The sequence below is a fragment of the Homo sapiens genome, chromosome 6, assembly GCF_000001405.40.
Source record: "Homo sapiens chromosome 6, GRCh38.p14 Primary Assembly".
NCBI lineage: Eukaryota > Metazoa > Chordata > Mammalia > Primates > Hominidae > Homo > Homo sapiens.
This window is the reverse complement of record NC_000006.12, coordinates 125,346,188-125,360,906: the sequence shown is the minus strand read 5'-3', so window position 1 is coordinate 125,360,906 and position 14,719 is coordinate 125,346,188. Positions and strand designations below refer to the sequence as shown.

General features: G+C 39.4%; 1 long non-coding RNA gene across 1 annotated transcript; it reads right to left on the bottom strand.

Moving 5' to 3' along the window:
* Positions 1 to 4,827: 4,827 nt before the first annotated feature.
* Positions 4,828 to 14,388, bottom strand: LOC107986640 (uncharacterized). Its single transcript, XR_001744328.3, has 3 exons — positions 14,151 to 14,388; positions 9,992 to 10,048; positions 4,828 to 8,760 (listed from the first exon to the last, which is right to left on the bottom strand). It is a non-coding gene; the product is annotated as an uncharacterized LOC107986640 (long non-coding RNA).
* Between the last annotated feature and the right edge of the window lie 331 nt (positions 14,389 to 14,719).

Below are 14,719 nucleotides of genomic sequence, written 5' to 3'. Positions count from 1 at the left end.
AAGCAAAGATATATATGTCTATACCATTTGCATGCAAATAGAATCATGCTACCCATACTTCTCTGAAACTTGCTTTCATGCTTTTAAAATATGAGAACAACTTTGTAAACTTATACATAACAAATTTGCTGTCATTAAAGAAATGATAAAATGAAATTGTATTGAATGAATACACTATAGTTCATTTAATTGCAGATTAAGGTGGTACTTTTCTAGGTTTTGCTTTCCCACGTTAGGAAAACAATTACGATTTGTATGTTCTTTTCAGTAATATCCATCAAAAACTACAATAAAAATAGGGCTTCATTCCTCTTAGAGGTTTTATTTTTTTCTTTCTTGAATAAAAAATAAAAAGAATATAAAAATACATTTGAAGAACAATTTAGACTAGTGCTAAGCAGGTAAACATCAGTAGACATAAATAAGTTTATAATTTTTTAAAGCTAATTGACTTAGGAAAAGCTGATTTAAAAGTGGTAAGACCACTCCAGGATACACAAACATTCAAAATGTGTGAACTAATGGTGAGAAATTGTCATTTTTAACCAGTGAGTTTTCAAACAATTTACTGGGAGGCACAGACAAAATTTGAAAGAAACTTATAAAAACCTAATTATATAAGCTAAGCAGATGTAGCTGTCTGAAAATTAGTAGTGCTTTGCTTTATCAAAATTCTTTAAAAAGCATGGAAGATTAAGAACTGTCCCAGCAGTCACAAAAATGATCAAAACACCCTATAATTTTTATTAATAACACAAGATCAACATAATACTTACTGGGGAAAATTATAAGTATGTGGAAAAACAGAAATTAGAATTATTAAATTTGACTAGCTTATCAGTTTACCAGCTGTGAAGTATCTCCTCGAGTCAGAATATCTCAGTGCGGTTACCACATGTACTGATTACAACTGGTACAGAGAAAACCTGACATACATCCCACTTACTAGTGTTCTGGAGTAACAAACCAGATGGTGAGCATAGTTGATATCTCAGTTGTCCCAAAAGATGTAAATGTACAACCTGGTACTGCTAGAATAGGAGATAGGGGTGTGTACCATAAGGAAGCAAGGAGAGAGATATGATAAATTGATTCTTCTTCTTTTTATTTTTTATCTTCTTCTTTTTCTCCCCCTCCTGTTCTCCCTCCCTCTTCTCCCTCTCTCTTCTCCTCTTTCTCCTCCTCTTCCTCCTTCTACTCCTCCTTCTTCTTCTTCTTCCTCTTCTTTCTCTCACCCCCTCTCTCTCTCCCTTTGGAGAATAAGAGTATATATGAATTGTTCACTGCTTTTTTTTTTCTTTTGAGTCAGAGTCTCTGTCTGTCACCCAGGTTGGAGTGCAGTGGCACGATCTTGGCTTGCTGTAGCCTCTGCCTCCTGGGTTCAGTGATTCTCCTACCTCAGCCTCCCAAGTAGCTGGGATTACAGGTCTATGCCACCATGCCTGGCTAATTTTTGTTTTTTTAGTAGAGACGGGGTTTCACCATGTTGGCCAGGCTGGTCTTGAACTCCTGACCTCAAGTGATCCACCCCCTCGGCCTCCCAAAGTGCTGGGATTACAGGCATGAGTCATGGGGTGCAGCCTGTTCATGACTATTGATCCTTAAAATTAATAAATCCTTTTCAGCATTTCTTTTAAAAACCGTAACCACTTGTCATGTTAGTCATTACTTTATCCTCATTTTGTTTGGTCTCTACATCTCAGAGTGTCTCCTTACCAAGCCAGCCAAACCTAGAAACTTGGTTTCTTCAATCTGACTCCTATAAGAAATGTTACAATACCACTTCACCCCACCAGGCTGGCTGCAATCCAGAAGACAGACAATAGCAAGCATTGATGATCATGTGTATAAACTCTCATCCATTGCTGATGGAAATGTAAAATTGTGCAGTGACTTTGGAAAACAGTTGGCAATTTTTAAAATGTTGACGATAAATTTACAATACAACCTAGCAACTCCATCCCTAAGTATCTACCCAAGAGAAATAAAAACATGTTCTCGTAAATGCTTGTACATATGTTCATAGCAGCACTATTTATGGTCATCAAAAAGTGGAGTCAATTCAAATGCCAGTAAACTGAAAAATGGATAAACAACATGTAGTATTTCAATACCAAAGAATATTATTCAGCAATAGAAAGAAACGACGTACTCACACATGCAACAACATGAATGAACATGGATGAAACTTAACAACATTATGCTAAGTGAAAGAAGTCAGATACAAACACACCCACTATGTATATATATATATACTATATATGATTCGATTTATATGAAAAGTCCCATAAAGGCAAATCCGTAGAGACAGAAAGTAGACTAACAGTTGCCTGGAGTTGGGAATGGAGAGTGGTTGCTGATAGATAGAAGGGCTGTTTTGAGGGTGATGGAAATGTTTTAAAATTGAATTATGGTATTGGTTGCATAATTCTATAAAAAGTGAATTTATATTATGCAAATTATATCTCACGAAGCTGAAAGAAAGAGAGAGAAAAAATGAAAGAAAAAACAAAAAGATAAAGAAAAGGAAGAGAGAAAGGAGGGAACAAATGAGGAAGGGAAGAAAGGCAAGAATAAGGAGAAGCTTCAGCAAAACATCTCTCTAAGGTAGAGAGTGTCGCCTTGTAAGCAGTATGTACAATGCACTTGACAACCACAAGTCTCCTATTTCTGGAAAAATGAGCAAGTTATGCACAGGGCTAAGGAAGTTCACAGGCTGCAAAGGGTGGAAAAAACAATCTTTCCTTTCATCTATTTTTGTAAAAGTAGCAGAAGCTATAAACGTCTTCTCTTTCCTGGGTTGGTAATTTTATCCTTCATGACCTGTCTTTAGCCCTAGGGAAGGAAGTCATTTAATTGGAGCCCTGAGGATGGAGAGGTCCTTGTAGCTCTCTCACACCCTCCTTGTCAGAACACAGCCCCTCAGTTGCTCCATCTTCTCTCACCTGCTTCCTGCGTTCATCGTGCCAATCAATGGCAAGAGAGGACAGAAGAATTAGCTGTTGGAGTGGAGACCCAACACCATGGGCTGACCTAGGGGTCTGGGAGCAGTTTATTTGTTTGATACCATTTCCTCAGAGCTGACAGGCAGCCCTTTCTTCTGAAATCACTCTTGGGCCACCAGCATACTCTGACAGCAAATGTACACAGCTGGGAGGCAGCCAGACGCATCCTACGTACTTACTACGCGTTGTCCTAGAAACAAATGAAGGGCTGTGTGGTTTCTTCGCTTCCTGGCAGGGCCCTGCCAAGATGCTGCTGCTGGGAACATGCTAAGTATATGCAAGGTCAGGACAGAGCCCATTCTCAAGCTAACAAAACCAGTAAAGAAGCAACATTTGAAAACTCTGGTGTCCTTAGAATTAAACACACACACACTTGTTCAAGTCTATACAAGGACAAACTTGTTCTTTGTGACCAAATCTTGTGCACACTGAAAACCTCCAGTAGAATGCAATGTACAGTTTATATGCTAACAATATCACCTTTCAGCCAGAGCAGTGTTTCCTCTTGTGAAGAACAATTTCCAAAAGGATGTTTTTCTTTTTCACAGCAAGTCACATATCAGACTATGTGTTTTGGAGGGGTTGAGAGGTGGGGAATATCAGGCTTTTTCAGATAACTGACTGCTTACCTTCTCATCTTTTGAACCAAATATAGAGATTTACTTAAAGATGCAGATACTGGAAGCTACACGAATGTAAATGAGCTCATTAGTAAGTGGGAACCTAACCTGTCACCCACCCCCAAGGGAGGACTGCTGAGTGACAGACAGAGGCTCGAGAATGCCGGTACATTCAGAACAATCACAGCAAAGTGAGGCACATCCTAGAAGGAGGTATGCTTGATTTGCATAGAAACTGCATAGGGTGTGAGCCCAAGCCAGGCACCGAGGGCCACGTCAGCCACTCTGGAGGAAGGAGCATGGGATACAGACACACTCAAGTGACTCCAGCCTGTAGAAGAAGCACATTTATTTGCTCTACATACTCTTTCAGCCACTGTCCCCATTCATCTAATCTTCTGCAGAGCAAAATTGCTAGAGTGTTCTTCCAATGGTAGCTGCTTCCTTCACCTGTTTACTTTGCACTTCATTCTATCTACTATTTGTTCTTAGCAATCTACTGATCCACTCTCACAAAAGTCGCTAGTAACCTCCTTAGTGTCATATCCAAAGGATATTGTTTTGGCCTCATCCAAGTCAGCTTTTCAACAGCATTTGACAGTGGAGCACTACCCTCTTCTTGTAACACTCTTCTCTAGGATTTAGGGCTACTCCACCTCACTAGATTTTTCTTTTACCCCAGTGGCTCTTCATTCTCAGTCTCTGCTATTTGTGTTTCTCTTGTACCTGAACTACATTTAAGAGTTCATTGGTTGTCTATCCTGGATGCTTTCTTTCCCTCTTTAAGTGATCTCATTTACTATTTTTTTTTTTTTTTTTTTTTTTTTGAGACGGAGTCTCGCTCTGTCACCCAGACTGGAGTGCAGTGGCACAATCTTGGTTCACTGCAACCTCCGTCTCCCAGGTTCAAGCAATTCTCCTTCCTCAGCTACCTGAGTAGCTGGGATTATAGGCGCTTGCCACCATGCTTGGCTGATTTTTGTATTTTTAGTGGAGACAGGGTTTCGCCATGTTGGCCAGGCTCGTCTCAAACCCCTGACCTCAGGTGATCCGCTCACTTCGGCCTCCCAAAGTGCTGGGATTACAGACATGAGCCACTGTGTGTGCCCAGCAGATCTCATTTATTCTTATGACTTTTAATATCATCTGAATACTAACAACTCCAACATTTATTCATTGTAATCTTCAGCTCTTCCCTAATCTCAATGGGCATATCCAAATTCTTATTTGGTATCACCTATTGGCTTATCCTCTTGGCAACTCAAATTTTATGTGGCCAATATGGGACTCTCTACTCTCACCCCGCTACCAAATCTGCACCAGCCCCAGTTTCCCTCATTGCAGTGGCTGTCCCAGGAGCATAACACCAAGCTCACCAAGTGAGGTTGCAGAAAAGTGTCCTGCAGAGGGGTGGGGGGTCTGAACTCCAACCTGCACATTTCTTAATGGACTATATGCCCTGGAGCAGGACAGCTTGCACTTGCCTAGAAGAAGGAAGCAGATCTGTGTAGGCGAGCTACAGTGCTGCCATCCACCCAGTTACCAAGGATGGAAACTTAGGGTCATCCTTGACACCAGCCACATCAACTAGCAAGTCCTGTTAATCCCACTTCATCTCCACAGCCACTACCTTAGTTCATGCCACCATCGTCTGTCATGCAGACTATCACACGCACCTCAGCAGATTCCCCACTTTCACACGGTCTCTTCTGATGCATTATTTACAAAGTAGCCAAATTAGTTGTTTAACAACAAAACCAGATGTTGTCATCTCTTTTCTTCCTTGCATAAAACCTTTTAATCCTTCCCCATTATCCTTAGAGTTGAGTTCGGTTACCTTGACTGACAAAGCCCTCCATGGTCTGGGTCTGCCCCACCTCTCTAACCTCCTCCCTTTATGTTCTCTCCTGTCCCCTTCCTCATTTATGCACCAGCAACAATGGCCTTTTGTCAGTTCTTAGAAAGGTTAAGCCACTTTATCACTTCAAGGCCATAGTACTTGCTTTTCCTCTGCCTGAAACATCCTTCCCCTGCTTTCCACAGAGCTGGCTCCTTCTCACCCTTGAGGTCTCAACTTAATCTCTCTAACAATCTAAAATGAGTCACTCTTGTAATGTCCCATTCCAACACCTTGTTTATTTTTTTCATAGAACCCCAAACAATCTCTAGTTAATACATCTATTTGTTTTTATCTGCTTTCTACACTAGAGTACAAGTTCCTGAGGACAGATCCCTTGCCTATCCTGTGTCCCATCAAAACTTCTGGGCTGAAACTTTCTGGATGGTAGCCAGCACTTAGTATGTACTTATTGAATTAGCAAATGAATTAATCTATGTTTGGAAAGATAAAGAAGCTGTCCAAGTGAGGCAGTGTTAGGGGCAGTTTCAAGTGAAAGAAACAAGTGCAGAAACTCAGGAAATAGAACGCACAGCTGTTTGAGGAGGGTCATTGGCCTGTTTCGGTAGATAAGTAAGGTTAAAATGTAAATTATGTAAATTGTAGCGGGAGAGTGATCTAAAATTGGCAGGCAGGGCCACTGTGTCTCCAACTAAATTGGAGAGAGAAATTCTGTAAGAGGCATAAGAAGGCTACCTTCCTAGAGCTAAGTGCCTCTTGATATCCATACACAGCTGAGATCTTCTGACTGGACTATCTATCAATTGGTCTTTGACACAGTTTCAAAACAGTAATAGAACACAGCAGTAGAATATTTCATGATGATGACAGCATAGTTGGAGCATTCAAGTCACTCACTCTGAGGTTAAATTTCCAAGTGTATTTTTCTCTTAGATTTAATTTCTGGTTGAGAGAACAGTTCCAAATGTAATACAGATCTATTATATGGATATAATGGTGGAATCTGTTTTTCCTGCTTCACTACTTATTTGTCAGCTAAGAATCTTGAGCAAGACAGTTAACATCTCTGACATGATCATCTTGTTTGTAGATAGGGAGGAGTTAATGATGGTATCTCAGGGATTGGGAGAGTAGCAGTATACCTATGTATATTTAAATTATCCAAAACAAGGTAAATGTGTATGGTATGCACCATATGTAAAAATGTAAAAAGGGATAAATATAGATATTTGCTTGTATTGGAATAGAATACCTCTGGAAAAATACACAATAAATTAGTGACAGTAATTGCCTCTGTGGTGGGGACTGGGGACAGAGGTGAGAGAAAAGATTTTCATAATATGCATGCCCTTTCCTACTTCCTACTCTTCTTTCTTTTCTTCACCCATCCCTGTCTTTCTTATTGCTAGTAATGGCTAATGTAAAGCATATCACTCTTTTGCATGTATCACTCTTCTCCCTGACTCTACTGCTATGTCAGAACTGGGACTTCTACTTCACAGAAAACATAGAGATTATCTTCAGATACGTCTCAGTTTTATGATCATTGTCTTAGATATCACTTGCCTTGGCATTAGATTTTACTTTGATTTCTGCCATTTCAGAGGATAAGCTCACCTGCTCTCTTTCCTCTCTTTATTTGTATATCTGTCTCTGTCCCTCTTTTTGTACATTCTCGGTGGTATTGAAGTATCCTCATATGTTTCTTATCCTTAAAAAAACCATTCCCTAGCCTAGACCTTGTTAGCTGCCATTTTCCTTCTCTTTTCCTCTTTATAACTACATTTCTTAAAGACTTTTCTGTATTTTCCCTCTCAACTTTATCATTAATAGTCACATTTTGCCCCACTGGATTTGATTTCCTGCACTCCCCTGAAACAGTGTTCCCCAAGCTCACTAAAGGCCTCTGTTGTTATTAAACCCAATGGACGTATTTTCTATCTTTATTTGACCTCTGCCCAATACATTGTCACCAAAGTCTACTTTCTTTCCGTATTTTTCTTCTGTGACTTCCATAAAGCCTTCTTCCTTTTCCTCACCCTTGTCTGAGTGGGGAGTTTATCTTACTTGTTCTCATAAAAATCTAGGGGTACATCTAGTATGTAATCATCTATGGACATGAACACGTATTTTCTCCATTAGACTGTGATATTCTGAAGACAAGAACTGTGTCATTTCGGTTTTTGAATCCTTAGTGTCTAGGACAGTGAGTTCATCAATAAATGTTGCTTTATAGAACATTAAATGAAAGAGAAAATTTTCTTCTCTAACTTTAGTTTTAATGCTAACTGTGACAGGAACAGCTTCTTGCCTCTAATATCCTTTCTCGTTCTCTTTCTTTATAATGGAAACTTAACTGTGTTCAGCTGTGAAATTACATTTCCCGGCCTCTCTGGTTTGGCCATATGATGAGGCTCAGGGTAATGGGAGGAAAATAGAAAGTACCTCCAGAAGGCACTTTAGAAAGGAGGATCATATCTTCTTTCCTTATTGTTTCTTCCACCGTGAAGTGAATAGTTACAGCTCTATCAGCCCTCTTGTGACCTTGAGAACAGAAGGCAGAACAGCAAGAAATAAGTCTAGGTCTGTGAGATTTTTGTAGGGTTCTATGGTTTGAATGTTTGTACCCTCTCAAACTTATGTTAAATTTTAATTTCCTTTGTAACAGTATTGAAAGGTGGGAACTTTAAGAGATAATTAGACTGTGGGGGCCCTGCCCTCATGAATAGATTAATGCTGTTATTTCAGAAGTGGTTTCCAAAAGGATAAGTTTGGCTCTCTGTTCTCAATCTCTCTCTCTCTTCTCTCTTTTTTCTCTTTCTTTCTCTCTCTCTTTTTTCTTTCTCTCTCTCTCTCTCTCACTTTCCTTCTCTCTCTCCCTCTCTCCTGCCCTTTCTTTCTGTCTCCCTCCCTCTCATCCCACCCTTTGCCCTTCCTCCCTAGGATGATGTAGCAAGAAGGCCCTTGCAAGGTGCCAGCCCCTCAACCTTGTACTTCCCAGCCTCCAGAACCATGAGCCAATACATTTTTGTTCATTATAAATTACTCAGTCTGTTCTATTCTGTTACAGCAGTACAAAATGGGTTAACACAAACAGTTACCACACCAAACCTGTAAAAAATACCTCTCAACTTTTAAAAAAAAAGAGAATATGCCAGGTACTATGGCACATTCCTGTAATCCCAGCTACTCAGGAAGCTGAGGCAGGAGGATGGCTTGAACCCAAGAGTTTGCTCCACTGCCCTCCAGACTGGGGGGCAGAAAGAGGCCCTGTCTCCTGTAAAAAAAAAAAAAAGAAAAAGTAAGATAATAGACATTTAAACTGTTTAAGTCACTCTAAGTAGATCGCTATTACTAACAGCTGAACTTAATTCTAACTTATGTACATCCTAAAATAAAAGTTCTTAACATAAGTTAGCACATCTTAGTGCTAGAGAATCAAGCCTTTGTTTCTCTAGTTCACTTACACCATAGGGGTAGATTTAGGTGAAACACAGAGTCTGGATGACCAGTAACATGTTTGATGTCCACAGCTTCATGGGTTTGTCCAGAGCAGTGGGCTCTTGTAGGGAAAAAGTGCGAGTTTAGCAGATTAAGATGTGGTTGTTATTTAGGAACCAATTTTTGAGGGTGAAAGTGACTTGATTAAATCTACACTAGATTATTCAAGAAGTCATTGGATTGAACAGGCCAGTTAATTCAGTCCAAATGGCTATCTTCTTTTAAATAAACCTTCAACTGGATTTTCTGCAAGTTGATAATTTGAAGACCAAATGAAATTTATTTACAAAACAGGACAATCCAACAGCACAGGAGCATGTCACTGGGGTCTAGGGAGTGCATTAGTTCTAATTATGGAGCTAACAGCAATGTCTGGAGGAACACCATGGATCTAAAAGGCCTGGACCACAATAGGTAGAGAGGCAGTCTGGGTAGCGACTAGTTTTTTAATGTCTTAGAAAAGCCTACCTTGATTTATCTTCAGGAGCATTCAAAGTATTTTGCAACCATAATTTTAAAATATCTTTTGAAATAATTTGAATACCTGAATGTATGTGAAAGAGTCCAGACTCATGTATTTACATGGCAAAGTTTGATAAGGCAGAGTTTTTCCCATATAGGCATGCAATTGATTTAACTATAGGCTTGACCCATGGAATTCTCTTGTAAACTGACAGCCATGAGAAAACCCACTCTTGCAGTAGAGCCCTCCTCCTGGAAATAGAGCAGCACTTCTTGCCCTTTCTCACAGTCCTCTTGGCTGCAGGGAAACAAGAATGCTCTTTGTCAAGGCATACCCAGGAGGAGCATTTTAGAGCTCAATTTTCTCATGGTTTATTCAAATAAAAAGGAATGAAGATAATTTAATTTGAAATATGTCCAAGTGTTTCTTGTATCATCCCTGTGCTGTGGCATGTTTCTAAAGCAAATAAGACAGTAAGAAATCAAATATGAAGAAATTCAGCTGAGTGTTTCATGTCCTAAAAATGGGCATTTATAGAGCTTACCATGGCTTTTCTCTTATCCCTTCTTTTCTGAAATAAAATGCTTCATGACTTGGTTGCCTGACAAAGAAACAAGCAGAGATGACTACCAGATCATATTCATAACCTCAACCTATCTCAACATATCATGTAGCATTTCTTCAGTAGTCCTGCTACTTAGCTTCCTTCTAGACACAGTAAATGAATCATGAATTGAAAGAGATCTTAGCTGCAGAAAGAGGACCCAGGTTAACACCCACACAGACTAAGCCTGCAGGACCCTGCCTTGGAATCTGTAAAGTAAGGGTGTTCAGTGTCCTGAAGTCATCCCATCCAGGATACTCCACAGGAGGTGGAGCTTCCTCAGAACCTGGCCTAGCAACTTATTGCTGCTCTTGGCTCTGATCCAATGTGGTACTCTAGTTGGAGGCGGCACATAGTAGGAGCTCAGTGAAGCTGAAACAATGAAGGATATGTGAAGTTTCTAGTTTCAATTAGCTTTTAGTTATCACTTTATTAGTAGATTATCTGGATAAATTGCTTGTTGCTTATTTTTCATTTCAACCCATATATTCACCAGTTAAAATCTCTACAACCAGTACTGGTCTAACGCTAGCGACTGCTCACTATTTTTAAAGGAACACATGAAGCATTGTAAATTTTGCTGAATGTAACTTCCACACTATTCACATATTAAGAAGGCTAAAATAACAGGCTATGTATTCCGACTACCTAAGATCTAATCCTACATCTGTTACTAATTGTAACAGTATAATATAAAGTTGATGAGGGAACTTTTTGATAAGGGAAAGTTATTTTCCCTAACTGAGTTTCTTTCCTCATTTGTAATAAATGGGAATAAAAATAATAGTACCTACTGATAGGTAGCAAGTACTCAATAGATGTGATTATATGTAGTAGAAGCTATCAAATATGCAGGATGGAAATTTAACTGCTACACACTGAAAAAAATCCAATGTTACAATGAATGTCCGTGAATGAGCTTTGGGCTTTGGAGTAAGAGTAATTTGGTCTGCTACAAAGATATTATGGTTATAATTATAAAGTAGTAGGATGGACTAGAAAAAAAATTAAGTTCTATGCAGAAATTTACACATAAAAAGGACTGTTGACCCTCAAAGCTGTCATCTTATGAGACATTTCTGTACATTTATCCAAATTCTACTATTGTTGCTGAAAATGTTCTTGGTTCTTCTGTTTAGGAAAGGCCATCAGAGACAATTTATAGGCTGCAGGCAAAAATTAATCAAATCTATTTTTGTTTCCCATCACATCTGATATTGATTTGTGACTGTTCTCCAAAATCATATTTAGCTTTAAAAAATTGTTAACACTAATAGAAATCTAAAGAATAAATAACTGACCCTGAAAGCAATCATATTTAGCCTTAAGCAGAATAGTTAACACTAATAGAAATCCAAAGAATAGATGACCCTGAAAGCAATCATTTTTAGCCCTAAACAGAACTGCTAACACTATTAGAAGTCCAAAGACTGAATAACTGACCCTGGAAGCAATGAACACATTTATTCCTCGCTCATTTATTCGTACATATTTATTTCAATGCGCTACTAAAGTTGATTTTATAATAGCAACCCCACTGCTTTAAGTCAATTATTTCTTCCAGTGACTATTTCAGTAAGGATGTGTATACGTTCCTGCATGTGTTGAATCAAATAAAAGCAATTAGTTTATAGATACACCTCTGACTTGAAAGGGCCCACCAACATGCCACTACTGAGAGTGTCACAAGAAAATTGTGGTAAGCATAGTCTTTGTTTTTAGTAAAAGTCATGTCCTAGATGTTGGTGAAGTAGACATTATTTATTATCACAGTGTTATTTTTAAGATCCCTGTAGTATTAATTCCTAGGACTGCCATGACAAAGGATCACAAACTGGGTAGCTTAAACCAACAGAAATTTATTGTTTCACAGTTCTGGATGCAAGAAGCCCCAAATCAAGGTGTTGGCAGGCCCTTGCTCCCTCTGAAGGCTCTAGGGAAGGAGGCTTCCTTGCCTCTACATGCCTTCTGGTGGCTTCCACCAATTCTTGTCGTTTCTTGGCTTGGAGATGCATCACTCCAATCTCTGCCTCCATTTCCACAGCATTCTACCTGTATGTCTGTGTCTACATTTCCCTTTTCTTCTCATAAGGATACCAGTCACACTCAATTCAGGTCTCACCCTACTCTAGTATGACCTCACCTTACCTTCATTTCATCTGCAAAGACCCTATTTCCAATTAAAGTCACATTCACAGATACCAGAGATTAAGATTTCAACATAAATTTTTGGGCAATGCAATTCAACTCAACACTTTATGAGTCAACTTATTCAGGCTATAGGCTCCAGTTATTCAATCAAACACTAATATAGATGTTGCTGTGAAGGTAGGTGTTGTTAAAGTCTATAATAGTTTGGTTTGTGTAAGAAAGATTGTCCTGGATAATCTGTGTTGGCCTGATTCAAGTAATTGAAAAGCTTTAAGAACAGAACTTAGGCTTCCTTGAGGAAGAGATTCTACTTGTGGACGGCAGTGTCAGCCCCTGCTCGAGAGTTTCTGTCGGCCCTTCCTGAGGGCCTGCTGTACAGATTTCAGACTTTTGTAGCCAGCTGCCACAATCACGTAAGCCAGTTCCTTGCAATAAATCAACATATATCCATATATATTTACATTATTTCTAAATATATATGTTATTAAAAATATATAATATGAATTTATTATATATTCATATTAGCTATGTATATTGATTACTAGTTCTGTTTCTCTGGTGGAACCCTAACTGATACAATACTTAAAGCAGTTACTACACTTCTTGACATCAAGATGCCCTCATGTAGAAATCATTTGCTGACACCTGCACTATTGCTTCCAGCATGGTCTAGGGATTATGTGCATGGGCTCTGGAGTTAGGCAGCCTGGGCTGAAAGCTTGGCTCCACTGCTTACTGGTTCTGTCACCTTATGCAAAGTAACATAACTTTTCATTGCCTCAGTTTCCATATCTGTATGATGGTGAATAATAATAATATCATTTTATAGAGCAAATAAAACTTGTTAATATTTAAAGCAATTAATGCCTGTTAATACTTATTATAGAACCAGTAGTTTTGTTGCAGCCAACTCATACTGGCTCAGGAAAGCCAATTGTGATCATCCCTACTCAACACTACACTTAGCTTTCAAGAACTTTGGTAGCCTGAACATGGCTATGGTGGGAATATTTACACTATGGAAATTGGCAAGCACTGCAAGTCAGGGCCTCTTTTTTTTTTCCCAACTCTATTACCAGCATAACATTGTTAATACTAGTGTCTGATAGAAAGTTAGCTCTCTGTAAATAGTAGTGATTATAACAGGTAAATTGCAACAGGAAAAAAAAAGCGGGTAAGATTCATTCCTATCCTCAAAAAGAGTGATTACTAATAATCCATATGGCCCCTTTGTACAAAAGGGACCCTTCCTTCAAGACATTTCACTAATATATGACAGGAAATCATCATATTAAATTAAATCTATATTATGAGTGGTGGCACCGAGAGTTATGTGGTGCATGACCTAGACAGCTAACTACACTTAGTGTTCCTACAAGAAACTACACCCACAGTCACTATTTCATTTTCCATCCTGTTTTAAAGGTAATTTTTTCCACTCAGTAACTATGTGAGTTGTTCCCCTATTTTCGTTTAATCCTCAAATATATCACTCTCGTGAATAAACTGCTTGAAAATATATTTCTTATAAAATAAAATATTTTCGATTCAAGGACATTTTGAAACATGTTTTCAGTGGTGAAAAGGACGTCTGCAAGAGGAACTGAAAGAGAAATAAACAGTCACTGGAAACACACGCTGAAGGCGGGGATTGGGGCACATATTAATAAAATAGCTTGAGTAAAATTGGATAATGCACAAGAACAGCAAAACAGAACAAAACAAAACCCAACAACGATGAGGAATTCATCAGTGAAGGGCTCGCGGAATGTTCTGAGAATAATTCTTCCTTGCTAATGCCCTCCAGTTTGCATTAAGATGCCCAGCAGTTCACCCTCCAGTCTGAGCCAGGCCAGCTACACAGGCTGAAAGTTTCTTAGGCCCTCGATGACGATCCTGGACAGGCACCCTGAACACAGCCTCCCCGGTACATTCTTAGTGCACTCACAGAATCTGCTGCTTCCCAGGTCTTTTGGATGTGAAATGAAACCCCAAGGACTGCTTTAACAAGGGGCAAAAACACATGCAACCAAAGCCAGCAGTTATGCCGAAGCATCCCGGATTCCCATGAGAAACTCTCTGGATCTAGTTCCTCTACGTCACATGAGTGTGCAAACAGGAGACTACAAGAGTTTAAAAATACTGGGACTGCTGGAGATTTCCCTGGCCATATATAGTTCACTTGTTTCACAGTAAGTTCAAAAGAGACAAAGGGAGAGGGAGGGAAAGAAAGAAGGCAACGGGCACTCAGCTTGAGTGAGTAGGGAACCTGATTACAATACTGTGCCACCTTCCTTCTCCCCCCAGCTCCGCCCCGGCACTCTCACCCCCAGCCCCCAAGGCTCCCTTGAGTTTGTTTTCTCTCAAGGAAGCTGCAGCCGAGGTACTCCTCCGCCATCTCTGGACATCTGCTTGGCTTGTCTATTTTCTGCTACAGGCAGAGGACAGGAAGGAAGAGTTTGTTTCCTGTAAATAGAGGGAGAGAAAATTACAGCTATTATTGTTTTGACAACGGAA